The sequence below is a fragment of the Homo sapiens genome, chromosome X (assembly GCF_000001405.40).
Source record: "Homo sapiens chromosome X, GRCh38.p14 Primary Assembly".
In the NCBI taxonomy this organism is placed as follows: domain Eukaryota; kingdom Metazoa; phylum Chordata; class Mammalia; order Primates; family Hominidae; genus Homo; species Homo sapiens.
In genome coordinates this window covers 52910143-52938123 of record NC_000023.11, presented here as the reverse complement: position 1 = coordinate 52938123, position 27981 = coordinate 52910143, and the positions used below count along the sequence as shown (strand labels likewise).

The 27981-nt window shown below is 47.1% G+C and overlaps 1 long non-coding RNA gene across 1 annotated transcript, besides 10 other annotated features; it reads right to left on the bottom strand.

Annotated features, from left to right (window-relative positions):
* Positions 2177–3148: an enhancer, noted in NCBI's record as "H3K27ac hESC enhancer chrX:52964185-52965156 (GRCh37/hg19 assembly coordinates)". NCBI's record gives its function as "activates a minimal SCP1, AML or CMV promoter by ChIP-STARR-seq in primed H9 embryonic stem cells {active_cell/tissue: H9 hESC(primed)}" and the evidence as "EXISTENCE:reporter gene assay evidence [ECO:0000049][PMID:30033119]".
* Positions 3084–3333: an enhancer, noted in NCBI's record as "active region_29650". NCBI's record gives its function as "activates an Ori minimal core promoter by ATAC-STARR-seq in GM12878 lymphoblastoid cells {active_cell/tissue: GM12878}" and the evidence as "EXISTENCE:reporter gene assay evidence [ECO:0000049][PMID:35858748]".
* Positions 3084–4121: a biological region, named in NCBI's record as "H3K27ac hESC enhancer GRCh37_chrX:52963212-52964184".
* Positions 3149–4121: an enhancer, noted in NCBI's record as "H3K27ac hESC enhancer chrX:52963212-52964184 (GRCh37/hg19 assembly coordinates)". NCBI's record gives its function as "activates a minimal SCP1, AML or CMV promoter by ChIP-STARR-seq in naive H9 embryonic stem cells {active_cell/tissue: H9 hESC(naive)}" and the evidence as "EXISTENCE:reporter gene assay evidence [ECO:0000049][PMID:30033119]".
* On the bottom strand, positions 7279–14899 carry LOC124905190 (uncharacterized). Its single transcript, XR_007068242.1, has 3 exons — positions 14667–14899; positions 13932–14258; positions 7279–9122 (listed from the first exon to the last, which is right to left on the bottom strand). It is a non-coding gene; the product is annotated as an uncharacterized LOC124905190 (long non-coding RNA).
* Positions 13918–14127: an enhancer, noted in NCBI's record as "active region_29649". NCBI's record gives its function as "activates an Ori minimal core promoter by ATAC-STARR-seq in GM12878 lymphoblastoid cells {active_cell/tissue: GM12878}" and the evidence as "EXISTENCE:reporter gene assay evidence [ECO:0000049][PMID:35858748]".
* Positions 14188–14317: an enhancer, noted in NCBI's record as "active region_29648". NCBI's record gives its function as "activates an Ori minimal core promoter by ATAC-STARR-seq in GM12878 lymphoblastoid cells {active_cell/tissue: GM12878}" and the evidence as "EXISTENCE:reporter gene assay evidence [ECO:0000049][PMID:35858748]".
* Positions 16501–16590: an enhancer, noted in NCBI's record as "active region_29647". NCBI's record gives its function as "activates an Ori minimal core promoter by ATAC-STARR-seq in GM12878 lymphoblastoid cells {active_cell/tissue: GM12878}" and the evidence as "EXISTENCE:reporter gene assay evidence [ECO:0000049][PMID:35858748]".
* Positions 16671–16800: an enhancer, noted in NCBI's record as "active region_29646". NCBI's record gives its function as "activates an Ori minimal core promoter by ATAC-STARR-seq in GM12878 lymphoblastoid cells {active_cell/tissue: GM12878}" and the evidence as "EXISTENCE:reporter gene assay evidence [ECO:0000049][PMID:35858748]".
* Positions 17082–17685: an enhancer, noted in NCBI's record as "H3K27ac hESC enhancer chrX:52949629-52950232 (GRCh37/hg19 assembly coordinates)". NCBI's record gives its function as "activates a minimal SCP1, AML or CMV promoter by ChIP-STARR-seq in primed H9 embryonic stem cells {active_cell/tissue: H9 hESC(primed)}" and the evidence as "EXISTENCE:reporter gene assay evidence [ECO:0000049][PMID:30033119]".
* Positions 17331–17390: an enhancer, noted in NCBI's record as "active region_29645". NCBI's record gives its function as "activates an Ori minimal core promoter by ATAC-STARR-seq in GM12878 lymphoblastoid cells {active_cell/tissue: GM12878}" and the evidence as "EXISTENCE:reporter gene assay evidence [ECO:0000049][PMID:35858748]".

Sequence of the window (27981 nt, the reverse complement as noted above, 5' to 3'; positions counted from 1 at the left end):
AGGCTGGAGGATGCTTGAGCCCAGGAGTTTGAGACCAGCCTGGGCAACATAATGAGACCTCATCTCTACAAAGAATAAAAACATTAGCCGGCTGTGGTCGTGCAAGATTGTACTCCCAGCTACTGGGGTGGTTGAGGTGGGAGGATCTCTTGAGCCCAGGAGTTTGACGCTGCAGTGAGCTACAATCATGCTACTGTACTCCATCCTAGGTGACAGAAAAAAAAAGAGAAAGAAAAGAAGGGGGAAAAAAACCCTTCTTTTTATGAGAATCTTTGGCTTACTGCTTTTTCTCTAGACATCCTTTCCTGGCTCTCGACACATGTTTTGACTCCAAGCTCCATGGCTCAGGCCCTGGGAAATGGGGTCTGTCTTAATAAAGGACAGTAGAGCCTGGCCTTGCATGGGGAGGGGAACGACAGCTTCTCTCTTCTGTGTGTCTGTCAGATTCTTTGCTCTTTCTGTGTCCTGTTTTGGGAGTCTGCTTATGAGGGGTTAAAATTGTCCTGGGTTACAGTAGGGAAGACAAGTACGTCCCATTCCCTTGCTACTGTGGACTGATAAGACGGTGTGCAGAGGAGGAGTCGCAGGGAATGGTATGCAGAGAGCAACAAACTCACTCAAGCCCCTCACACCCCACAAGCACGCTGGCTTATTTATTCTCTCTGACTGATTTGACATTTGTCTTGCTTGTCCACCCTCTGGACTGGATAGTAAGGGGAAACAAACGCACTGGATTTTCGTCTAATCTGGTGTCATCTGATGCTGTCATGTAACCGATCCATTTGTATAAATGCTCAATCTGTTTTGGCGAAAATGATCAGTCTCTTGGATTGCCACCCCACCTCCCTACTCTTGTCCAAGATGGGGAAGGGGCATATATGGCTTTTGAGTCTCCATGGTGATGTGGGAAGGGGCCTATGACATTGTATGTTGGCTGCAGTGTCCTCGGTGGGTTCTGAGGGAAGGCTCACTCTTGTCCCCAGGTCCTGCTGTCGACGCTGCCCTGCTCACCCATGCGTGAGGCTGGCGTAACTTGCATTTTTGTCTCTCTCTCTCATCTTGATCAGGACCTTGTGCTCCCTGGCTGACTTGACCTCAGCCCACCTGTGCTGGCATCTAGCCGACCCTTCTGAGTCAGGGCCTCATGCTCTCCCCGACCCCTGACCAGTGCTGTCCACTCCACAGCCTCAGCTGCAGGGTCTCCTAGCTCCTATCTGGCTTATGCTTGCTTCATGGTAGCACCGCTGGGTTTTGAATCAGCCACTTCCACATTCCCCTCTCAGAGAATGTAGAGCGCTGAGGTCTCCCAAAACAGCAGGAACCAAGATCAGCTCTACAAAGTGAAATTCCTCAACTCCAGACATCCCTCTGCCCAAAGAGGCTACTGGGCCATTCTGCAAAACGAGCTCCAAATTTGCATGAGGTAAAACCCTCTTTTACTCGAAGCTTCTCTCCACTCCCTTGTCACACCTTCCTCCTCTGAGATGTCTGACTCTGTCACTGCCTCTGGGGACCTCCTACCCCCTGTGACCAGAACAGGACACCTTCTTTGGCTTGTCTTTCATGTTCACCTCAGACTTGCCCTGTTATATCCAGGTCAAGAAGGTCACAGTTGGGAATTTGTACTTGGTTCAGAACAACAGTAGAATATGTTTCCAAGGGCCTGAGCCATGGAGCTTGGATTCAAAAAAATGTGTCCAGAGCCAGGAAAGGACGCCTAGGGAAAAAGCAGTAAGCCAAAGGTTTACTGCTTCTTACTTATAAGAAGAAGGGGAGATTTTTCCCTCTTGTTTCTCTCTCTTTTTTTTTTTTTTTTTTTTTGAGACACCCTCTCGTTCTGTCACCAAGGCTGGACTATAGTGGCACAATCATAGCTCACTGCAGCCTCAAAATCCTGGTTTCAAGAGATCCTCCCACCTCAGCCACCCCAAAATACAGATTAGGGACAAAAGCCCTATTGAAGGGAGTTGAGGAGGCCGTGGCCTCAGAACTCCAGGCAGTTTTTGTTGAAGGGCAGCACATTCTGTGCCAGCAGCTGCTGAAGGACATGTGGGGAGAGGGTGGGTTTTTCCTCCTTTGCTTGTGGAGTGCTCCAACGTAGAGGGGGCAGTTGATGACTTTGAAGGGAGGAGGGATCATTGCAGGAGCAAAGCCCCTGAGAAGGTGGGAGGTATGGGATCCTGAGCTGAGGTGAGGAGCTGGCTTCAGTTAGGAGCACTGTATGCAGAAGGGCGGCAGAGAATGCCAGGGCAGGCACGGGTAGACCGGGCTTGGGAAGCCCTAAGAGTTCCCAGTGGATTGCTTCTGTCTTCTCGATGAATCCTTAGGGTAGGCCACTGAAATGGAAGAGGGTTCCTAGCATTGTTGGGGGGTATGTTAGCAATGGAGGTAGGATGACAGTGAAAGAGAGAAGCAATCTCTCTTGGTCATGGAGAAAGGTACAATAATTTGTAAGGCTTGTTAAGGTTTTTCTCATCAGTGCTCAGACAGGCATGACGCCCGTGCATTCCTTCACATCGTGGAGGGGTGCGGTCTTTCCTGAGGCCCAGGGCATGACCGCTGGCAGAAGAGACTTAGGTGGGCAGGAGGAGACCCGTGAGGACGGAGAGGTTCTGGCGGTGGCCTGGTCAGCCCCTGGGGGCGCTGAGATCGCCAGGGAGGATCGGCGGATTAAGGGCTGCGGGGAAGACGGGGTGTGCCACGTGGGAAGCGTGTTCAAAGGCTGGCTGGATGGGAGGAGAATGGCTCTGGGACTGGCACAGGTCTCGAACGCGGGGCGGCTGGGCAGTCGTGTCCCTCAGCCGTCAGCTCCTAACCGCAGGGAAGGAAGCCTGCGGCGAACCCCGATGAGACGAGCCGACCTCCCCGGGCTCCGACGCGCAGGCCCAGAGCTCGTCAATCCTAGGCCAGCCCCGCCCTCCGGACTGCGTATTTCCGGCGGCGCAGGAACTTTCTGTCCGGATGCTATGGTTCCGAGGGCGGAACTAGTGGGGGTGTCTGGCGCCGCAGGAACTTATTGCGCAGTTGCTGTGGTTGCGAGGGCGGGACTAGGGGAGGCTTTTGTGCAGGGGTGAGTCCCTCTTCCCTGTTCGCCGGAGCCATCGCGGCCCGTTCCAGTCCCTTCTCTGTTCGTCGCTCTCCTTTCCTGCCCCAGTGGATCTCTCAGGGCTTGGTGCCGAAAAGTAGTGGAGAAGATGGAATTTCCTCTGTGGTTGGTGGCTTTCGGTTTATTTCGCCGGCAGGTGGCAGTGTTGCACTGTGGAGTGGCCCTGCTCGCCTTCCGCCCCTCCCTTCGCGAGCGAAAAAACGCTGCCCATCGTTTTCCGATGGAAGAGGTCGGTTTTTTTTTTTCCTCCTTCCCTGGCGTGTGAACCGGCTGGTCCTGGAGCCTGAGTTGCCACCTTCTGGCGGGCGAGGGGGGGGGGTCCCTCGCTGAAACTCAGCACTGGTGGACAAAGCCTTTTTGCTTTTCAAATCGGCCTGTCTCCCGCGGACCTGCCTGCGTCCCTTAGTAACCCTTATTCTGCTGCTCTGAATGGTCTTTCCCCCACGTCGTCCTGGAATCCGTTGGCCTTCATCACTGTATTCTTTCATTAGGTAGGGCGTTCAGCCTTGCTGGAGAACATGCGAGGCGAAATAACGCAGAATAAAGAAAACGAATCTTAGCCACCGTCCTATCACACAGCGGTGGCCATTCATTATGCTTTGTGAAATTTCTTCCTTAAGAGGGTTTTTCATCCATAACGGTGCATTTTCCACATACTGACATTCCTACTTGCGTCACGACTTCAACATCCTTATTTTAAAACTCGGTTTCACATTTTTGAAAAACGGTTTTTGTGATTTTCGTCGTTTTGATTGAAATAATGCAAACGTTTTCTGGAATGTTCTGTGTTCCTGTAAAACTCCAGTGCACAATTCATTAACTCGTGATCCAAAGACAGCTGTCACCGTGTTCTCTTATGAGGGCAGGAGCTGTGGTCTGTGTGTGTGTGTTTCAGTCTTTTGTCCTCAGTACCTGCAAGGACACTTAGAATTTACTGGGTGCCTAATAAACATTGTGAAATAAAGTATTTATATTTCCCGTCATTTTTCTTTATACGTGTAGAAACAATCTTTTCATAGCACTGAGAGATAAAATATAGTGAAGAAAACTATCCACAGTTCCATCAACATGCCATCATCACTAATCATATTTTTTTATTTCCTTAGCGGTTTTCCATCTATAAAGGTACATTTTAAACATACTGAGATTGATGTTTGCATCATTTCTTTCGAAAATTTTTAAACTATTCTATTTAGCATTAAGGTGTCCCACAAATTATTTCAAAAAGACTCGAAAATTTTTTATTCATGTCTTTTGCTAATACAATATGTAGTATAGAAGAGCAAAAAAAAAATTAACAATTAAGCTGTACAACAGAAATAACCCCTGACTCCCTATTTCAAAGGTTAATATCAGAAAGTGATCATTATAAGGACAGAAACTATATTTGTTTTGCTTTGTTTTTGCTCACCAATGTATTTTCAGCACATTACCAGAACAGTGCCTAGCTTTGTCTTGTCAATATAGACATTTGTTGAATACAAATACAAGTGTCTAATTTCTTCCAGGTGAGTAAAAAAAAAATAGGCCAGGCGTCATGGCTTAGGCCTGTAATCCCAGCACTTTGGGAGGCCAAGGCAGGAGGATTGCTTGATCCCAGGATCAAGTTGGAGGCCAGCCTGGGCAACATAGTGAGATCCTGTCTCTACAAAACATAAACAATAAAATTGGCAGGCTGTGGTGGTGTGTACCTATAGTCTCAGCTTTTGGGAGCCACAGGGGGCTGAAGTGGGAGGGTCGCTTGAGCCCAGGAGGTCAAGGCTGCAGTGAGCCTTGATTGTACCACTGTACTCCAACCTGGGCCTTGTCTCAAAAAAAAAAAAAAAAAAGATCATTTCATAATACTTAGATCCTACTCTTTGAACAATTTCCTTCATGGTTTATTTTTTCTTTCCATTTTGCACTATTTCTGTGAGCAGTGACTTCCATGATTTTTTAAAAAGTTTTGCTGGCTCTTTTACACACTTCCCCAGTGTGTCTTTTATTCTTATACTGGGGGCAGGAAAGCATTCTGCAAGCCAGTGTGTAATATAGAGTCTGACAGACCAGGGACAACTGACTCCACATCTGTGTGCCTGTTTCCACAAGTATAGATTAAGGGTGGTAACAGCATCTCCTTCAGGGGGTGGTGTTCATCATAAACAGCCCAACAGGTTCTTGGCTTGGGTCCTGGCGGTTGTAGATGTCATACTACTGTTGTTGTGTCTAATATTTTCTATTACGTGTGTAGTAGGTACAGTTTTTTTTTTTTTTTTTTGAGACGGAGTCTCGCTCTGTCTCCCAGCCTGGAGTGCAGTGGCACGATCTCGGCTCACTGCACCTCTGCCTCCCAGGTTCAAGCGATTCTTGTGCCTCACCCTCCTGAGTAGCTGGGATTACAGGCATGGGCCACCACGCCTGGCTGATTTTTGTCTTTTTAATAGAGACAGGGTTTCACAATGTTGACCAGGCTGGTCTCGAACTTCTGGCGTCAAACGATCCACCTGCCTCAACCTCCCAAAGTGTTAGGATTACAGGCGTGAGCCATGGCGCCCAACCGGATTTTTAAGCCAGATTTTTTTTAGAGTGCATGTAGTAAAATCTAGTCTTGAAATTTAGTGGCCGGGCGCGGTGGCTCACGCCTGTAATCTCAGCACTTTGGGAGGCCGAGGCGGGTGGATCATGAGGTCAAGAGATCGAGACCATCCTGGCTAACACGGTGAAACCCCGTCTCTACTAAAAATACAAAAAAATTAGCCGGGCGCGGTGGCGGGCGCCTGTAGTCCCAGCTACTCGGGAGGCTGAGGCAGGAGAATGGCGTGAACCCGGGAAGCGGAGCTTGCAGTGAGCCGAGATTGCGCCACTGCAGTCCGCAGTCCGGCCTGGGCGACAGAGCGAGACTCCTCTCAAAAAAAAAAAAAAAAAAAAAAAGAAATTTAGTTATAGCTGCTATGTGTTCTTTCATTTTCCATTTTTGCCTTCTGGTAGAAAATGCACTCTACTAATCACTAGGGAAATTCATGCAAGGAAATGTGTAGGAGGAAAGCATATTGATACATTCCTCAAAGATATTCCCTCCATAAAATGTAAAGAATATTTTTGTACATATATATTTTTCACTATCTCTGATGATGATGATGATGATGATTATTATTATTATTATTTATGGAGTTTTGCTCTTGTTGCCCAGGCTGGAGTGCAATGGCGCCATCTCGGCTCACTGCAACCTCTGCCTCCTGGGTTCAAGCAATTCTCCTGCCTCAGCCTCCCGAGTACCTGGGATTACAGGTGCCCACCACCACGCCCAGCTAATTTTTGTATTTTTAGTAGAGACAGGATTTTACCATGTTGGCCAGGCTGGTCTCAAACTCCTGACCTCAGGTGATCTGCCTGCCTCGGCCTCCCAAAGTGCTGGGATTACAGGCGTGAGCCACTGCACCTGGCCACCCTGAGCTCCTTGATTTGCCTGAGCTCCTTGACCTGTATCATTTAGCACACCTTTCAGTAAGACCAGGAGATCCCTGAGCCTGGTTTGACAAGGCCACCATAAATGAGGATTTAGGTAACGCTCCTAGAAATAACACCTGCTCTGCATATGTAGAAGCCCCAGAAATAGGATAGTGTCTTTTAAAGGCTATCCCTGAAGTTTACCCCCTCACAATTACTAGAGAACAATCCAATCCTGTTGACAAAGGTAGGATGAATCTGTCTCTAACTATAGAGACCAATTAGATACTACTATCAGGAATGCTAGAGGTTGGGCATTAATGCTGATGCCGCCAGGGAGTTCTCCACCTTTTTTGTTAATGGCCCTAAGCCTGAAATATCAGCTGCTGTTCAGAAGCAGAAAATAGGTGGGCAAGTCATACCCATCCATGAGTTACAACACTTAGCTCAGTATTTTGAAGAAAGTATGATAAATGAGGAGAAAACTGCATGCACAGTCTTATGGCCCTCAACTTCACCTAAGGGAAACACAAGGGCCTCTACAAATACAACACAGCTAGACAAGCATGTGTGCCGATGCTGTGGTTTATAATTTTGGTATTCTACGGAAACAATAGGGTTTCCTACCTGCTGCTGGTACTTACATTAAGTATGGTGACAAGGTCGAGCTTTACTAGAAACCTTGCTCCAGGAATTGGCTGTAAGTGTGGTCAAAGCTCCTACTGGGAAATAAACCTGTGAAACAAAAGGAAAGTCCTTGACTGGTATGCTAAACAATTCGCTCTCATTCATATTCAGCAAACTAATGATGGTCTGGTTCCTCCAGACCACTTATTTATTTATTTATTATAATTTAAGTTCTGGGTTACATGTGCAGAACGTGCAGTTTTGTTACATAGGTATACACATGCTATGGTGGTTTGCTGCACCCATCAACCCATCACCTACATTAGGTATTTCTCCTAATGTTATCCCTCCTCTATCCCCCCACCCACCACAGGCCCTGGTGTGTGATGTTCCCCTCCCTGTGTCCATGTGTTCTCATTCTTCAGCTCCCACTTATGAGTGAGAATATGCGGTGTTTGGTTTTCTGATCTTGTGATGGTTTGCTGAGAATGATGGTTTCCAGCTTCATCCATGTCCCTGCAAAGGACACAAACTCATCCTTTTTTATGGCTGCATAGTATTCCATGGTGTATATGAGCCACGTTTTCTTAATCAAGACTATCATTGATGGACATTTGGGTTGTTCCAAGTCTTTGCTATTGTGTATAGTGCCGCAATAAACATACGTGTGCACGTGTCTTTATAGCAGAATGATTTATAATCCTTCGGGTATATGCCCAGTAATGGGATTGCTGGGTCAAATGGTATTTCTAGTTCTAGATCCTTGAAGAATAGCCACACTGTCTTCCACAATGGTTGAACTAATTTACACTCCCACCAACAGTGTAAAAGTGTTCCTATTTCTCCACATCCTCTCCAGCATCTGTTGTTTCCTGACTTTTTAATGATCGCTATTCTAACTGGCGTGAGATGGTGTCCCATTGTGGTTTTGATTTGCATTTCTCTAATGACCAGTGATGATGAGCATTTTTTCATATGTCTGTTGGCTGCATAAATGTCTTCTTTTGAGAAGTGTCAGTTCATACCCTTTGACCATTTTTTTATGGGGTTGTTTTTTTCTTGTAAATTTGTTTAAGTTCTTTGTAGATTCTGGATATTAGCCCTTTGTCAGATGGGTAGATTGCAAAAATTTTGTCCCATTCTGTAGGTTGCCTGTTCACTCTGATGATAGTTTCTTTTGCTGTGCAGAAGCTCTTTATTTTAATTAGATCCCATTTGTCAATTTTGGCTTCTGTTGCCATTGCTTTTGATGTTTTAGTCATGAAGTCTTTGCCCATGCCTACATCCTAAATGGTATTGCCCAGGTTTTCTTCTAGGATTTTTATGGTCCTAGGTCTTACGTTTAAGTCTTTGATCCATCTTGTGTTAATTTTTGTATAAGGTGTAAGGAAGGGGTCCAGTTTCAGTTTTCTGCATATGGCTAGCCAGTTTTCCCAACATAATTTATTAAACAGGGAATGTTTTCCCCATTGCTTGTGTGTGTCAGGTTTGTCAAAGATCAGAGGTGGTAGATGTGTGGTAGTATTTCTGAGGCCTCCGTTCTGTTCCATTGGTCTATATCTCTGTTCTGGTACCAGTAGCATGCTGTTTTGGTTACTGTAGCCTTGTAGTAAAGTTTCAAGTCAGGTAGCGTGATGCCTCCAGCTTTGTTCTTCTTGCCCAGGATTGTCTTGGCTAATGCGGGCTCTGTTTTGATTCCATATGAAGTTGAAAGTAGTTTTTTTCCAATTCTGTGAAGAAAGTCAGTGGTAGCTTGATGAGGATAGCATTGAATCTATAAATTACTTTGGGCAGTAAGGCCATTTTCACGATATTGATTCTTCCTATCCATGAGCATGGAATGTTTTTCCATTTGTTTGTGTCCTCTCTTATTTCCTTCAGCAGTGGTTTGTAGTTCTCCTTGAAGAGCCTCCAGACCACTTCTATGAAACCTTGGGAAAACTGCAGTCACAAGCATTCGATTCTATAAAAGAGATAAGGGAGAATGGCAGTTCCTCAAAAAATTAAACATAGAATTACCATATAATCCAGCAATCCCAGTTCTTGGTATATACCCAAAAGAACTGCAGTCAGGGACATGACCAGATATTTGTACACCCATTTTCATAGCAGCATTATTCTCAATAGCCAAAATGTGGAAGCAACCCAAGTGTCCATTGACAGATGAATAGATACACAAAATGTGGTATATAAATACAATGGAGTATTATTCAGCCTTAAAAAAGGAATGACATTCTGACACATGCTACAACATTAAAAAACCTTGAAGACATACTAACTGAAATAAGACAGTCACAAAGACAAACATTATATAATTTCACTTATATGAGGTATTTAGAGTAGTCACATTCATAGAGACAGGGAGTAGAATGGTAGTTGCCAGGGGCTGGAAGGAGGGGGGAATATGGAGCTATGGTTCAGTGTGGACAGAGTTTCAGTTTTGCAAGATGAAAAGAGTTCTGGAGATGGATGGTGGTGGTGCCTGCAGAACAATATGAATGTATTCAATGGAACTGAACTGTATACTTAAAAATGGTTAAAATAGTAAATTTTATGTTATGTATATTTTACCACAGTAAAATAAGATATTGGAAGAAACCCAATGTTCCCTCCTATCAGATGGGCAATGGAGATACCAAGACTGCTGTTTGGCCTCTCCAGTCTGAATTGGAGCTTGATGAAAAATTTCTAGGCTATGATCCATCACAGTAAACCTTGAAAACTCCTCTGGGCCAACACTGGTGGGGAATTTTATTTGAGTAGCAGATGATGTCCCCAGGGTATGTTCCACCTGCAATATTTTATAATCCTGGACAAACTGTAAATGTGGGACATGGACAGGAACCACAGCTCCAGGGACCTTTTGAAGATTTACAGATGGACTTTATATAACTCCCTGCATCACAAAACGTTTAATTTCCTTAATTCCCTTGCTCTAAGGCAACAGCTCTTACTATGACTTTTAAGAACATTAGAATTTGTACTTCCTATCTGGGGAATCTCTACTTACTCATTTTACTGAAATTATAATTAAGAAACTTTGTAAGGTGTTTCCTGTTAGCCAAAAATTATACTATCGCTACCAACTTGTATTCTCACTCTGCTATTTCTGTTTCCTCTCCTTGTTCTCCCCATTTCCTTCTCCCTTTCTCCTCTGCCCTTACTCAATACCTCAAATCTTTCTCATTTTCTTGCTCAGGCTTATGAAGCTAATGTCACCTATTGGCTCTGCTCACCTTTTCCTGTCAATTGTATTTTACAACTCCTCCATTTCCTACCCTGGAAGAAATCTCTCCACCAGTACGGCTGCCATTTGAGGCATATTCCCATACAAACTGGACCTCTGACGACTCTAAAAAAGGAACACACCCTACCCAGGATACGCACCAAAGGAGATGAACTTGTTTTTATCCAAAGGAAGTGTTTGTTTGTAATCATAAATTTGTGAGCCTAAGCTACTGCAAAGGAAACTGGCCAGGTTATTAGCCCAAATGAAGGCAGTGGGTAACTTGGGTTTAGCCCCAACACCAGCCGCACCTAGGAAAGTTACATGATAAATTGTGACAATTGTTTTTTTCCCCCCCGGAGAATACCAAAGCAATTCATACTTTGTTGTGGGTTCACTGCCTTTTTTTTTTTAACCAGCCAATTGGATAGTCATGTTATCTTACCCATCTCTTTCTCCCTTTCTGATTATACATTTGCATAGAGTTATGACAACTTACCACCTTTTCAGAAGTAGAGTAAAACTCTCACTCCTAGACAGAACAATCCATTGTCAGGAGTGAGAACATCCCTCTGCAAAACAGCCATTCTCTCCAGGAAAACAACAGGAACTGTCTGAAGAAGCTAAAAGACTTGGAATGGTTTTAGATGTGTTCGCCCCCAACAGGGACAGGTCTCAGGTTGCAGGCTTTTCTGGCAATCCAGCTCTGTGGGTTACTGAAGAAGCTCAACCCAATTCCTGAGTTTTCCATGCTCTCATTCATGAAGCCAACCAAGTCACCAGTGATGTCACGAAAAATATTAACACAATCACTCAAGAAATGCAAGAACTCCAGAGGCTGTTGTCCATCATCAACTGGCATTAGCCATCATCCGGGCAGATCTAGGAGATGGATGCACTTGTGCAGTTGTCAATGACGACTGCTGTACATATATCCCCCAACACCTTTCTGATGTCTTTTTGATGAATTGCCACCTAGTCCTGATCTCTGGGACCTCTGGGTTATCATTGGGTGGCTGAGAATATGACCTTTTCCCTTGAATATTCCCAACAGGGATACAGTCCTGGGGATGCACTGCTTTTCCAAGATATAGTGATAATTTTTCTTTTTATTCTCATAGGAATACTCCTCATGAAGTCTATCCAGTCACATCTAGTTAAGACCAGCAGCACTCTCCTGTCCAAATGGATGACCCATGTTACGACTAAGGAACAGAAGACCAAATAACAAACTGCTCCTCAGATCCATTATGGAGGCCTTCTTGGCTCAATTCCTGAATATGATATATCCTTATAATTTTGTTTTCTCTCCAAAAAAGAATATGCTGGCAATGAAAGGAGTTCATCTTGTCTAAGAGGAGGGACTGGAAAAATAATTTATTTTGAGATAGGGTCTCACTCTGTTGCCCAGGCTGGAGTGCAGTGGTGCAATCTCGGCTCACTGCAACCTCTGTCTCCTGGGTTCAAGCGATTCTTGTGCCTCAGCCTCCACAGTAGCTGGGACTACAGGCACGGGCCACCACGCCTGGCCAATTTTTGTATTTTTAGTAGATACGGGGTTTCACCATGTTGGCCCAGCTGGTCTCGAACTCCTGATCTCAAGTGATCCTCCCACCTTGGCCTCCCAAAGTGCTGGGATTTGTTTTTAATTTTTAAAAATTAGCCAGGTTTTGCCAGGCGTGGTGGCTCTCACCTGTAATCCCAGCACTTTGGGAGGCTGAGGCAGGTGGATCACGAGGTTAGGAGATGGAGACTATCCTGGCCAATATGGTGAAAACCTGTCTCTACTAAAAATACGAAAAAATGAGCTGGGTGTGGTGGCACGCACCTGTAATCCTAGCTACTCAGGAGGCTGACGGAGTAGAATCGCTTGAACCTGGGAGGCGGAGATTGCAGTGAGCCGAGATCGTGTCACTGCACTGCAGCCTGGTGACAGAGCGAGACTCCGTCTCAAAAAAAAAAAAAAAAAAAAAAGCCAGGTATGATTCCAGCTACTTGGGAGGCTGAGGTGGGAGGATCTCTTGAGCTCAGGAGGTCGAGGCTGCAGTGAACCATTATTGCACCACTGCACTCCAGCCTGGGTGATAGAGACCCTGTCTCAAAAAAAAAAAAAAAAAAAAACGGCATGTACAGTGGCTCATGCCCCCCGTCTCTACTAAAATACAAAAGATTAGCTGGGCGTGGTAGCGTGTGCCTGTAATCCCAGCTACTCGGGAGGTTGAGGCAGGAGAAATGCTTGAACCCAGGAGGCGGAGGTTGCAGTAAGCTGAGATCACCCCACTGCACTCCAGCCTGGGTGATGGAGTGAGACTCCGTCTCAAGAAAAAGAAAAAAATAATATGAGGAAATCTGTCCCTTGAGTCATCATAGGGTTTACATTATACAAACATCTTTAGCATCACACACCTGAGCATTGATGTCTCTTTAAGTAGCAGTTTTCTCATCTGTTAAACAGGAATAATTATAGTAACCAATAACAAACTCCAAAGGTTTCTATGATCAATGAGACTAATAGTACATGTAAAGGACTCAGTATAGTACCCAACACATAGTATATGCTCAATAAATCTTATCCACATGATTTGAAATAGATAAGAATACAGTCTCTGGAATCATAATTTTAGGGAGAGTAAAGACTTTCTTTACATCCTTTTTTTCGAGACAAGGTCTCACTCTGTTGCCCAAGCTGGAGTGCCATGGTGTGATCACAGCTCACTGTAGCCTTAAACTACTGGGCTCAAGCAATCCTGCCACTTCAGCCTCGAGTAGCTGGAACCACACCTGGCTAATTTTAAAAAAATTTTTTGTAGAGACGGGGTCCCTACATCTTTAAAATACAAACGAAGGGTGTCTGTGCCAAAATAATACAACCTAAGATGCCACTGGGAAACAAATATAGGAAAAACTGTGTTTTGCTGTTTGGAAAAGATATTGAAAAACTCACTAAATTGAAAAAAAGGACTGAAATTTCTATAGAGTTTAGTTTTCAGTGATGCTACAGTCTATGCTCTTATATGCCTATTATTATTATTATTATTATTATTATTATTATTACTACTACTATTTTGAGACAGAATCTCTGTCACCCAGGCTGGAGTGCAGTGGTGCGATCTCGGTTCACTGCAACCTCTGCCGCCCGAGTTCAAGCGATTCTCCTGCCTCAGCCTCCCAAGTAGCTGGGATTACAGATGCCTGCCACAGCGCCTGGCTAATTATTTGTAGTTTTAGTTGAGACGGGGTTTCACCATCTTAGCCACGCTGGTCTTGAACTCCTGACCATGTGATCCACCTGCCTCGGCCTCCCAAATTGCTAGGATTACAGGCGTGAGCCACCGTGCCCGGCCCTTATATAACTATTTAGTTAGGAAACAGGCTAATCTATTTAATGAGGCAGCAAAAATATATTAGCTTTAACAAAAGATAAAAGTTTATCTTCAAATAGTCTTGATTAAGCCAAGGGCCAGTAGAGTAACTTGACAGTGCTGGAGACCTAAGCAGAGCGATTGCTTGGTAGTAGCCGCTACTCCTATGGATAGCTGTACTTACTCATTTTCATAACTTCATTGCTGTCCAATCTTCCTTCATCTGTGGGTGACTAAGCACATAGGAAATCTTAGAAATCACGTAGACCAGTGGATTTCAGTTTTTGTTAAAGTAAAAGCATGTTTCTTGAAAAAAAAATCCAATGCATAAGAGAAAAAAGAGGAGCTGTTGGGCTGGGAACAGGGGCACTCTCACCACACCCCTCCCTGGATGCTGCTGCAAGCCCAGAGAAGCAAAGTGACTCAGTCAAATAGGTAAGGCTGGCAGGGCAGGAACTATTAATAGAAAGGGACTTCTCTTGAGGCCTGGCCCAAGGCCCTGCATGAGGCCCTGTGAGAGGAAGTGAATATTAGTGAAGAACTTCTTGTCCAAATCAAACCGCAGCTTTAGGGTAAAGAAGCTGTCTGCATAAATTAACTCCGATTATTTGTGTACAGTACTGTTTACGGTGAGCCCCCTCCCCCTTTTTGGAAAGAAGTATGTGATTTTTTTCAGTTATTTGAGGCATGCCTAAAGCAGCTTCACAAGTATTAGCTAGACATGGAGAAAGACCACTGCAGTCAGATGAGCCTTGGCTCACATATGGTGCTTCCAGTCAAGTGATGGTGTCCCTGACTCCAATGACACGTTGGGAATTAGGCCCCTAAGTTCATATTTAGTGCATTTTTCTTTATGCCCCCAGTACGTCATTACATGACTATATCAATGCAGCAAGCTAAGCTGACTGTAGCTTCTTACCACTGGGCCAGATAACCTTAGCATGCCATCCAGAATCTCAGTTCTGTGAATTGTCTTGATCTAGGGCAGTGTCCTGTGGAAGACAGCCAATATATTGAAAGCTGATTAAAACACAGAATAAAAGATCCGTCTCTATCAAGGCAATTCTAGGCTACAACTTAGTTAAGCTTCAGTGAGATTATTATTTTTGGAGACGGAGTCTCACTCTTGCCCAGGCAGGAGTGCAGTGGTGTGATCTTGGCTCACTGCAACCTCCACCTCCTGGGTTCAAGCGATTCTCCTGCCTCAGCCCCCCGAGTAGCTGGGATTACAGGCGCACACCTCCACGCCCAGCTAATTTTGTATTTTTAGTAGAGACGGGGTTTCAACATGTTAGCCAGGCTGGTCTCAAACTCCCGACCTCAGGTGATCTGCCCACCTTGGCCTCCCAAAGTGCTGGGATTACAGGCGTGAGCCACTGCGCTGGCCGGCTTCAGTGAGATTTTTATGGAATTATGGAGAGTGTTTTACATGCAAAGCCCTGAATTCTTTCCTGAATATCATAAACAAGTAAAATTATCTTTTGTAAGTGAATTGACCTGACCGATGCAAGACAAACATTTAAGAAATGTTAACGACAAAGGCAAATGCTCACTACAAAATGTGAAACGAAAAAATCATGTAGAAAACCGGTGCTATATTATAATCCAGGGTTATGAAAAGATTAACTCTGCATATATAAGGAAAATTGACTGGAAATGTAAATATCAGTTTAATTCACAATGTTTATTAGGCACCTAGTAAATTCTAAGTAGTCTTCCAGGTGCTGAGGACAAAAGACTGGAACACACACATACCACAGCTCCTACCCTCATAACACAGTGACGGCTGTCTTTGGATATCGAGTTAATGAATTGTGCACTCAAGTTTTACAGGAACTTTCAACGTTCCAGAAAACGTTTGCATTATTATTTCAATCAAAACCATTAAAGTTACAAAAAGAATTTTTCAAAAATGTGAAACCGAGTTAAAAAGAAGGATGTTGAAGTCGCGACGGAAGTAGGAATCTCAGTATGTGGAAAATGCACCTTTATGGTTGAAAAACCTTCTTAAGGAAATATCACAAAGCATAATGAATGGCCACCGCTGCGTGATGGGACGGTGGCTAAGATTCGTTTTCTTTATTCTGCGTTATCTCGCCTCCCAACGTTCTCCAGTGAGGCTGAACGCAGTCCCTAATGAAAGAATACATTGATGGGCCGGGCGGTGGCTCACGCTTGTAATCCCAGCACTTTAGGAGGCTGAGGCGGGCGGATCACCTGAGGTCAGGAGTTCGAGACTGGACTGGCCAACATGGTGAAACCTCGTCTGTACTAAAAATACAAAAATTAGCCGGGTGTGGTGGCGCCTGCCTATAATTTCAGCTACTCAAGAGGCTGAGGCAGGAGAATCCCTTGAACCCAGGAGGCGGAGGTTGCAGTGAGCCTCGCAACACTGCACCCCAACCTGGGCAACAAAGCGAGACTCCGTCTCAAAAAAAAAAAAAAAAACGTTGATGAAGGTCCACAGGCGCCAGGACGGCGTGGGGGGAAAAGAAGGATGAGACCAGGCCGGGCCCGGTGGCTCACGCCTGTAATCCTAGCACTTTGGGAGGCCGAGGCGGGTGGATCACGAGGTCAGAAGATCGAGACCATCCTGGCTAACAGGTGAAACCCCGTCTCTACTAAACAAAACACAAAAAATTAGCAAGGTGTGGTGGCGGTCGCCTGTAGTCCCAGCTATTCGGGAGGCTGAGGCAGGAGAATGGCGTGAACCCGGGAGGCGGAGCTTGCAGTGCGCGGAGATCGCGCCACTGCACTGCAGCGTGGGCGACAGAGCGAGACTCTGTCTCCAAAAAAAAAAGACGAGAGCATTCAGCGCAGCAGAATGAGGGTTGCTAAAGGAAGAAGGCAGCCTCGCGGGAAACAGGCCGATTTGAAAACCAAAAAGGCTTTGTCCACAGGCTGTGAGTTTTAGCGAGGGGGCCCCTCAGAGGGCGGAATCTCAGCCTCCGGGACCTACCGGCGCAGACCCCAGGGAAGGGAAAAAAAAAAAGCCTCTTCTCTCGGAAAAGGTTCGGCGGCCTTTTTTCGCTCGCGAAGGGCGGGGCGGGAGGCGAGCAGGGTGGCTCCATGGTGCAACATTGCCACCTGCCGGCCGCAAAAACCGAACGCCGCCAACTGCAGAGGAAATTCCATCTTCTCCTCTGCTTTTCGGCCCCGAGCCCGACTGGGGCAGGCTAGCGGGAGGAGAACTACGACCCGAGAAGGGAATGGTACGGGACGCAATGGCTCCGGCGAACAGGGAAGAGGGACCCACCACTGCACAAAACTTCTAATCCCGCCCTCTCAATCACAGCAACCGCGCAGGAAGTTCCTGCGGCGCCGGAACCCCCCCCCCCCCAGTCACGGCCTCGCAACCATAGCAACCGCGCTAGTCCCGTTCCCGCAACCACAGCAGCCGAGCAGGAAGTGCTTACGGCGTCGGTAACCCCCACTTGTCACGCCCTCGCAACCACAGCAACCGCGCAGGAAGTTCCTGTAGCGCCGGAAAACGCAACCCGTGGGGCGTTGCTGGCGTAGGATTGACGGGCTCTGGGACTACGCTTCGGAGCCCGGGGAGATCGGCTCCTGTATCCTTCACGGGGTCCGCCAGGGCTTCCTTCCTTGCTGTTGGGAGCTGACGGCTGAGGGACGCGACTGCCCCAGCCGCGCCACGTTCGAGACTTGTGTCAGTCACCAGGCCATTCTCCTCCTACCAAGCCAGGCGCTTTTTTTTTTTTTTTTGAGACGGAGTCTCGCTCTGTCCCCCCAGGCTGGTGTGCAGTGGCGCGATCTCGGCTCACTGCAACCTCCGCCTCCCAGGCTTAGGCGATTCTCTTGCCTCAGCCTCACGCATAGCTGGGACTACAGGCACCCGCCACCATGCCCGGCTAATTTTTGTATTTTTAGTAGAGGCGGGGTTTCACCATATTGGCCAGGCTGGTGTCGAACTCCTAACCGTGTGATCCCCCCGCCTCAGCCTCCCAAAGTGCCCAAGCCAGCCTTTGCACACGCTTCCCACGTGACACACCCCCTGTACCCTCGCAGCCCTTACTCTATAAATCCTCTCTGGCGATCTCAACGCCCACCCCCGGGGCTGACCAGGCTACTGCCAGAACCCCTATGTCTTCAGGGGTCTCCTCCTGCCCACCTTCATGCCCTTGGCCTCAGGAAAGACTGCGCCCCTCCACGATGTGCAGTAAAGGATGGGCGCCCTGCCTCTCAGGAGCTGAGCACTGATGAGAAAAAATGCCTTACTTATTATTGTACCTTTCTCCATGACCAAGAGAGATTGCTTCTCTCTTTCACTGTCATCCTACCTCCATTGCTAACATACCCCCCAACAATGCTAGGAACCCTCTTCCATTTCAGTGGCCTACCCTAAGGATTCATCGAGAAGACAGAAGCAATCCACTGGGAACTCTTAGGGCTTCCCAAGCCCGGTCTACCCGTGCCTGCCCTGGCATTCTCTGCCGCCCTTCTGCATACAGTGCTCCTAACTGAAGCCAGCTCCTCACCTCAGCTCAGGATCCCATACCTCCCACCTTCTCAGGGGCTTTGCTCCTGCAATGATCCCTCCTCCCTTCAAAGTCATCAACTGCCCCCTCTACGTTGGAGCACTCCACAAGCAAAGGAGGAAAAACCCACCCTCTCCCCACATGTCCTTCAGCAGCTGCTGGCACAGAATGTGCTGCCCTTCAACAAAAACTGCCTGGAGTTCTGAGGCCACGGCCTCCTCAACTCCCTTCAATAGGGCTTTTGTCCCTAATCTGTATTTTGGGGTGGCTGAGGTGGGAGGATCTCTTGAAACCAGGATTTTGAGGCTGCAGTGAGCTATGATTGTGCCACTATAGTCCAGCCTTGGTGACAGAACGAGAGGGTGTCTCAAAAAAAAAAAAAAAAAAAAAGAGAGAGAAACAAGAGGGAAAAATCTCCCCTTCTTCTTATAAGTAAGAAGCAGTAAACCTTTGGCTTACTGCTTTTTCCCTAGGCGTCCTTTCCTGGCTCTGGACACATTTTTTTGAATCCAAGCTCCATGGCTCAGGCCCTTGGAAACATATTCTACTGTTGTTCTGAACCAAGTACAAATTCCCAACTGTGACCTTCTTGACCTGGATATAACAGGGCAAGTCTGAGGTGAACATGAAAGACAAGCCAAAGAAGGTGTCCTGTTCTGGTCACAGGGGGTAGGAGGTCCCCAGAGGCAGTGACAGAGTCAGACATCTCAGAGGAGGAAGGTGTGACAAGGGAGTGGAGAGAAGCTTCGAGTAAAAGAGGGTTTTACCTCATGCAAATTTGGAGCTCGTTTTGCAGAATGGCCCAGTAGCCTCTTTGGGCAGAGGGATGTCTGGAGTTGAGGAATTTCACTTTGTAGAGCTGATCTTGGTTCCTGCTGTTTTGGGAGACCTCAGCGCTCTACATTCTCTGAGAGGGGAATGTGGAAGTGGCTGATTCAAAACCCAGCGGTGCTACCATGAAGCAAGCATAAGCCAGATAGGAGCTAGGAGACCCTGCAGCTGAGGCTGTGGAGTGGACAGCACTGGTCAGGGGTCGGGGAGAGCATGAGGCCCTGACTCAGAAGGGTCGGCTAGATGCCAGCACAGGTGGGCTGAGGTCAAGTCAGCCAGGGAGCACAAGGTCCTGATCAAGATGAGAGAGAGAGACAAAAATGCAAGTTACGCCAGCCTCACGCATGGGTGAGCAGGGCAGCGTCGACAGCAGGACCTGGGGACAAGAGTGAGCCTTCCCTCAGAACCCACCGAGGACACTGCAGCCAACATACAATGTCATAGGCCCCTTCCCACATCACCATGGAGACTCAAAAGCCATATATGCCCCTTCCCCATCTTGGACAAGAGTAGGGAGGTGGGGTGGCAATCCAAGAGACTGATCATTTTCGCCAAAACAGATTGAGCATTTATACAAATGGATCGGTTACATGACAGCATCAGATGACACCAGATTAGACGAAAATCCAGTGCGTTTGTTTCCCCTTACTATCCAGTCCAGAGGGTGGACAAGCAAGACAAATGTCAAATCAGTCAGAGAGAATAAATAAGCCAGCGTGCTTGTGGGGTGTGAGGGGCTTGAGTGAGTTTGTTGCTCTCTGCATACCATTCCCTGCGACTCCTCCTCTGCACACCGTCTTATCAGTCCACAGTAGCAAGGGAATGGGACGTACTTGTCTTCCCTACTGTAACCCAGGACAATTTTAACCCCTCATAAGCAGACTCCCAAAACAGGACACAGAAAGAGCAAAGAATCTGACAGACACACAGAAGAGAGAAGCTGTCGTTCCCCTCCCCATGCAAGGCCAGGCTCTACTGTCCTTTATTAAGACAGACCCCATTTCCCAGGGCCTGAGCCATGGAGCTTGGAGTCAAAACATGTGTCGAGAGCCAGGAAAGGATGTCTAGAGAAAAAGCAGTAAGCCAAAGATTCTCATAAAAAGAAGGGTTTTTTTCCCCCTTCTTTTCTTTCTCTTTTTTTTTCTGTCACCTAGGATGGAGTACAGTAGCATGATTGTAGCTCACTGCAGCGTCAAACTCCTGGGCTCAAGAGATCCTCCCACCTCAACCACCCCAGTAGCTGGGAGTACAATCTTGCACGACCACAGCCGGCTAATGTTTTTATTCTTTGTAGAGATGAGGTCTCATTATGTTGCCCAGGCTGGTCTCAAACTCCTGGGCTCAAGCATCCTCCAGCCTCAGCCTCCCAAATGATTGGGATTACTGGTGTGTACCAGTGTGCATGGCTGCCACCTCTTCTTTAATCATCTGAGATGATATTAACTCCCCATAAATAGACCCTCCCCAAACAGAGCACAGAAAGAGGAGAAAACCAGACACACACAGAGAGTGGAGCAGCCAATGAGCGTGTCACCGAGGTGAGCAGGGCCTCCTTCAGGGCCATCATTGACATCCCCAGCCATGCCGGGCTCCAGTGTTCTTTATTAAGATAGACCCCACTTCCCAGGACCTGAGCCCTGGAGGGTGGAGTGAAACAATGTTTCTACAGACAGAGAATGACGCCTGGAGCAAATGCAGCAAGCCAAAATTTCTTATTAAAAGAAGGAGGGCTTTTTTCCTTCCTATTTCTTTCAAATGTACATAATGCCAGTTTCCTCCCAAGAGTTGAAAGGTACAGGGGAGAACTTCAGTGGCTCCTGACAGACCCAAGAATTGTCTCCCATTGTTGTATCCTGGCAGAAACTCATTCTCCAAGGCAGAACCTCCTCATTTCTCACAGACGCCATGCGCCCTAGTGCACTGGCATGGCCCTTTGGGCAGGTCTCGCTTCTCCACCCCGGGGCGAGTCAGCTGTCTTGGGCCCCATTGAGTGTTTTCATTTAATAATAGAACTCGGTTACTAATAGAAGCAGCCGCCACAGTTAGACAGCAAAAACAAAATCAGTAATAGCACTCTTACTTCACGTGGAGCTGTAAGATTTAGAAAACATTTATATACGCATTGCCTGATTCGGTTTTGTTTTTTTTTGATATAAGGTCTTGCTCTGTCACCCAGGCTGGAGTGCAGTCGTGCAAACATACATCACTACAGCCTTGAACTCGGCTCAAGCCATCCTCCCACCTCAGCCTCTCGAGTACCTGGAACTCCGAGGCCACTCCACCACTTCCAGATCCTGATTGGGCTCTTGACGCTGAGAAAATCATGACTTCCACAGCACTTCTTCACGCCCCAGCAGCGCTCTGAGGCCGAAGAGTCTGGCAAATGCACACCAGGAACCAGACCCAGAGAGGCTCCCGGGGCCCTTGTGTCTCATCCTGAGATCTCTAAAGGGGTCAATTTGGAGGAAGGGCGTGCTTCTCCTCTTGTCACATTCATGCCTCATGTGGTCCCCTTTTCTTATAGGGGGTACCACCCAGGTAGACACCCGGAGACTGCCCCCCCCCCACCGCCCAAAGAGAGTTTAAGGAGCTTTGCAATGACGAGTTTCCTTGACAAAGACCTTCAGTTCCCGACGGCACCTGGGCTGTGGCCAGGTAGTGGTGGCTGGAATCTTTCTTGCATCGCACCTGCTCCTTCACTGGGGAACATACCCCACCATTATTTATGGCGGCCTGGTACAGGTGGCTCGCTGCAAGATATCTGAACCTCCAGACTCGGGGCTCTCCTTGCATTTGCAAAGAATACTGGAACACGGGGCCCCTCGCAGTTCCCATGGAGAACTCCCAGGGGAGTTCTGTTGTGTCACCCTGTGGCTAAGTCTCTCTGATCCTCCCTTGAAGGGCCCAAAAGCACAGCCTCCTCACCACGAGGGATAACACTTTGAGGCCACTCTCACGATAGGGCTTAGGTTTACAGAGGCTGGAAATCCATCCTGGCCAGGGCCACAGACACGAACAACCTCTTCTGGCTTCTGATGGCTCCTCGTGCTTCTATGGTCCCAAGCAAAGAAACCTCCTCACACCAGGCATTCGGTGTGAATCTCCAGACCAAGTGCCCCCATGTACCCAGCCCCTTCCATCACCCCAACTCCAAGCCCCATAGGTCCACCACTCTCATCACAAGACTGCTCTGTGCTCCCCCAGCAGGACTCCTCCTCCCTCTTGCGACCTTTGCCCTGGACACTCCTCATTCTGTAGGTGACCCTGGGTGCCCACATGGCCACCCAGACTTGGTTCCGTCCTTCTCCGCTTGTGTGCTGATGGATTCCTGCATCACGAACTCCACCAGGAAAATCCCAGCTGAGCCCCAGAGCCCCCACAGGGCATGGTTTCAGGAGCATGTCCACTCAGATATCCCACAAGCCCAACAAATCAGCGGATGACCCCCAACTGTGTCCCTTGTCTCATGGGTTGGCACCGCCATCCACTCAGTTCCTGAACCCCAGAACCTAGGAATACTGCCAGGTTGGCTGCAGATCACCCCGTGACTCTGCTGCAAGCCTCTGGAAAAAGCCAACCATGACCTCCACATTGCCACAGATGAGCAAAGAGTCTCCCGTGAAGGCTTTGTATTGGCAGAGACTCTCTACAGGCATCCGAGTGGAGGCCCAGACCCTGGCTTGGGTGGCCCCCACAGGGAAGGCCAAAGAGCAGACCCGGGCCCTGTAATGTATCTCAGAGACCGAAATGCTCATCTCCTCCGAGAACTCAGCAGATAACCTCCAAATCCCTAAATCGGGACATAGCAGTAGGAGCCCATCATTTAGAGACACAGAGGTTAATATTCAGAAGAAATAGCTGAAGAAAAAAAAGAGAAGTTTGCGGAGGTGGGTCTCCACGGGTGCACCACATGAAACAAGGGACTGCTGAATTGTATTTTTCATCGTACATTTCCTAGTCCTATATGGCCCTTTAAGCGGAAGGATTAATCTGATATCACTAATTATAATAACATGTGAAAAATACATCTCAACACAATAAGTAAGCCTGGGAGCTGATTCATCCACATCAGCTAATACAAATCTGAGCCATCTCTAGATTCAAGGAATGATTGTGCAATGTCTCGTGAACGTATCTATGCAGTGTTTTACTCACCTTGAAAATAACTACCATATGATCCAGTAATCTCACTTCTGGGTATTGATAGTCCAGATACTCCCCATGTTCTTTGCAGCACTATTCATAATAAGCAAGATATAAGAACAACCTAAGTGTTCATTGATGGATGAATAAAGAAAATGTGGTATATACATACAATGGAATATTATTCAGCCTTAAAAAGAAGGAAATTCTGACATTTGTGACAACATGGATGGACCCTGAGAACATTATGCTAAGTGAATATGCCAGACACATACTGTGCGACCTCACTTATATGTGGAATCTAAAATAGTTAAACTTATATAAACAGAGAGTAGAATGGTGGTTGCCAGGGGCTGGTTGGGGCAGGGAATGGAGGGTTGATGGTCAAAGTTGCAAAGTTTCAGTTATGTAAGATAAAGAAGTTCTAGAGATCTACTACATAGCATAATGCCTATAGCTAAAAACACTGTATTGTATACTTCAAATTTACTAAAAGAGTAGATTTTTGGCTAAGTGTTCTTATCACACACACACACACACACACACACACACACACACACACACACAAAATAAGAATAATATTAATAATAATAATAATAATAGTAATAAAAAAGAGGGTATGTGGAAAGTTAAAAAAAAAAAAAAAGAAAAGAACTCGAGCATAGGAGACCCTCACCAGAAACAACAATAAATTTCACTGGCAAATGCAGCATGTTAACGTGAAAATTTTGATTTCAGGAATATAGAGGAAGGCGAGCACAGTGTCAGCTGTAAAACACGCACTCACATTACTTTGAATGTTTTTGACCTTTCCTTAGCCCGGGAAATCTATTAGCCCTAGAAACCGCCAGCACAGCAGGGAGCAAAGACGTCCTGCTTTCCCTTTGGCGAGGGACCTTGTGTTTCAGATATGCTTTACTTCCTATGAGGATGGTTCCGTTTCTGCAGCTGCCACCTCGTCTTTCATAAGAGGAGTTATAAAATGATACTCATGCTGGGGCCACATTCCAGACCTGCTAAGTCAGACTCTCTGGGGATGGGGTCCGGCATTTGCTCTTGGACAAATGCTCCACGAGAGACCTGATGCACAGCTGACGTTGAGAGACATAAGCACACACTCCCTTTCGCCTGCCCTGATTTTTAAATATAACCTTGGACTTCATAGCCTTGTTTGTAGTTAATGAATTGGGAAAAAAAAAGTAGGGGTTGCCTTCTCTTTCAAGAGCATCTTTTGACATATTTATTCTACAGCCACGTCTAGAGCAATTTCAAGGACTTAGGAGGGTGGTTATGCCACAGCTTTACCTTTCCGACCTGATGCTCGGCAGGCCCAGGAGAGGGAGAAGAGCCTTGCAGGTGGAAAGGGGTCGAGAGTTCTGTTGTCTTGGTAACCGTGCTGCCACTCATCCCATTGGGGTGCTCAGCTCCGGCAGGGGCCCTGTGGGTGAGACAACACCCCTCCCCACTCTGGCTGTCTTCCTGTGCTCAGAGGTTGAAGCTAAGGGCTGAGGTTGGTTACCAGAGAAACTGAAGCCAGGTCCTTGAGATTGGTGAACAGAAAAACCGGCAGTGGAATTCAGGACGTAGCATGGATTATGGGAGCCAGCCCACAGACAGAGGATTGACAGTCACTAGTGCATGCACCCACAGGGTGCCTGCGCAGGAACGCGTGCACACCGCACACAGACACACACGTAGACATGTGCACTCACCAGCACTCCCTCTGCCCAGGTGTGCACAGTCTATCTGGCTGGAGCATCAAGTGCACGTGGAGGAGCCAGGCGACCAGGCAGGACATGTAGGCAGGATGCGGAACAGGGAAAGAGAGGGGATGTTGCTTACTGTTGTAGAAAAAAATGACTGCATACCCCTTCCTCCGTGACTTACGGTCACACTTGCACTACATTTTTTAAATGGCTTTACTAAGGTATAATTTGCTTGCCACAAACTTCACGTACCTAAAGGGAATAACACAGTGAGTTTTAGTAAATTTACACAGTTTTGCAGCCCTCACCACTATCCAGTTTCAGAATACTTCCATCACCCCAGAAAGATCGCTGGTACCCACTAGCAGCAGTGAATCCCCATTACTTTACCTCCAGGCCCACCCAGGCAACTAGCAAGCTCCTTTCTCTCTCTTTAGAGCTGCCTCTCTGGGCATTTCCTATAAACTGACTTGTGCAATAAGTGGTCTTCTGTGTCTGACATCTGTCAATGAGCATAATGTCTTGGAGGCTCAAACGTGCATCAGTAGTGTGTTCTTTGTCACGGCTCAGTAACATTCGGCTGTACGGATATACCACTTCTTTATCCCTTTACTGATTGGTAGACATTTGGCTTGTTTCCACCCTGGGGCCTTCCTGCAAAATGCTGCAGTGAACATCTGAGCACATGTCTTTGTGTAGACATGATTTTATCACTAATGGGTGTCAGATATTGTCAAATACTTTTCTCTGTCTATGAAGATGATGATATAGTTCCTGTCCTCTATTATATTAACAGGGTGGATTACCTTGACTGAAATTTGAATGTTAAGCCAATCTTGCATTCCTAGAATAAATGTCACTTGGTCATGTTGCATAACCCACTGTATGTGTCGCTGGATTGGGGTTTGTTAATGTTTTGTTGGGGATTTTTGCACGCATATTCATGATGGATATTGGTTTATGGTATTCTTCTGCTGTCTCTGGCACTATTATTATTATTATTATTTTATTATTGTTTTTGAGACAAGTCTTGCTCTGTCACCCAGGCTGGAGTGCAGTGGTGCGCTCTGGGCTCACTGCAACTTCTGCCTCCCAGGTTCATGCAATTCTCCTGCCTCCGCCTCCCGAGTAGCTGGGAATACAGGTGCCCACCAGTATACTCAGCTAATTTTTGTATTTTTAGCAGAGTCGGGGTTTCACCATGTTGGCCAGGCTGGTCACAAACTCCTGACCTCAGGTGGTCCGCCCACCTCAGACTCCCAACACGTTGGGATTACAGGCGTGAGCCACCACGCCCAGCCTCTATCTGCCTTTAGTAGCAGGGTAATACAATTTTCAAAGGATAAGTTGGGAAATGTTCCCTCCTCTATAGTCTAAAAGAATCTGTGAAGGGTTGGCATTATGTATTTTGTAAATGTTGGATAGCCTTCACCAATGAGGCAGTGGAGCCTAGACTGTCCCTAGTGGGAAGATTTTTAATGTAGTCTTTCTATTTCCTTACATTCTCCGGGTCTACTCAGATGTCCCATGTGATCACTGCATTTGCACCTTTCTCTGTCCCAATCCTCTCTCGCCTGCTGGTGCCTTTGGTTTGGTCTCTACTCTAGAATGTCGCATGCTGGACACCTGTGGACATCACAGGACTGCAGATCCTAGTCTGTAACTTGGGATAGTATGGTGTCTCAGACATGACCCCCAAGTCCCATCCACCCCCCATACACAGGTACAGGGACAAAGACCTGGAGGTGAGGATGTGGAGGGTGTGCCGAGTGCCTCAGTTACCTCCACCCACCCACCTTCCATGTCTGTTCCTGGAGACCCTGTGGCACTGTGCATCTGTGACTTCCCTGAGCAAGCCCCTGATGCCTGCTTTTTCCAACTGAGATCCTTCTCACTCCTTTCATCTCCTGAGACTGGGACCACATGGGATCAACCACCTGTTCTCTGACACAACGATGCGTATCTGCTAGCATTTCAATATTTGTGTTCCCTCCAAAACTCACAGTGAAATGAATCCCCACTGCAACAGTGTTGGGAGGTGTGGAATAACAGCAGGTGTTTAGGCCATCACGGCAGAGCCCTCGTGAGTGAATGAATGCTGCTATGAAAAGAGCTTGCAGAAGTGGGTTTGCTCTCTCTTTTCCTCTTCTGCTATGTGAGGACATAACATTCTCCCCGGCTTGTCCTTCCACCTTTTGCCACGTGAGGAAATACCAGGAAGACTCTTGCCAGATACCAGATACTGGTACCTTTGTTTTGGACTTCTCAGCATCCAGGGTCGCGAGAAATAAATTTGTTTCCATTACAAATTGCCAGCTGTCTTGGTCCATTTTGCTTTGCTATAACAGAATACCTGAGACTCAGTAATTTCTAAAGAAAATGGGAGGCCAGGCACGGTGGCTCATGCCTGTTAATCCCAGCATTCTGGGAGGCCAAGGTAGGAGGAACACCTTCAGGCCTGAAGTTCGAGATCTGCCTGGGCAACACGGCCAGACGCTATCTCTACAAAACATTTAAAAATCAGCCTGGCATGGCAGTACATCCTTGAGCTACTTGGGAAGCTCAGGTGGGAGGATCCCACCTGAGTTCAAGGCTGTAGTGAGCCATGATCGTGCCACTCCACTCTCGTCGGCAACAGAGCATCACCCGGTCTCTTAAAAAAAATTAAAATAAATAAATCTTTTAAAAAGAAAAAGTTGGTCTATCTGGCTCACAATTCTGGTGGCTGAAACATTCATTTTTGGGCAACTGCATCTGGTGAGGGCCTCGGGCTGCTTCAACTCATGGTGGAAAGTGGAAGGGGAGCCGGCGTGTGCAACGAGATCACATGGAAAGAAGGAAGGGAGAGAGAATCGAGGGAGGCCAGAATCTTGTGAACAATCCACTCTCCTGCGAACTAATCCATACCTGTGAGAGTAAGAACTCAGCCCAGCAGGATGGCATCACAGGACACTGACTCATTCATGAGGGATCCCCACCACGACCCAAACACCTCCCACTAGGACCCACCTCCCAACACTGCAGCACTGAGGATTCAACTTCAACCTGACTCTTGGTG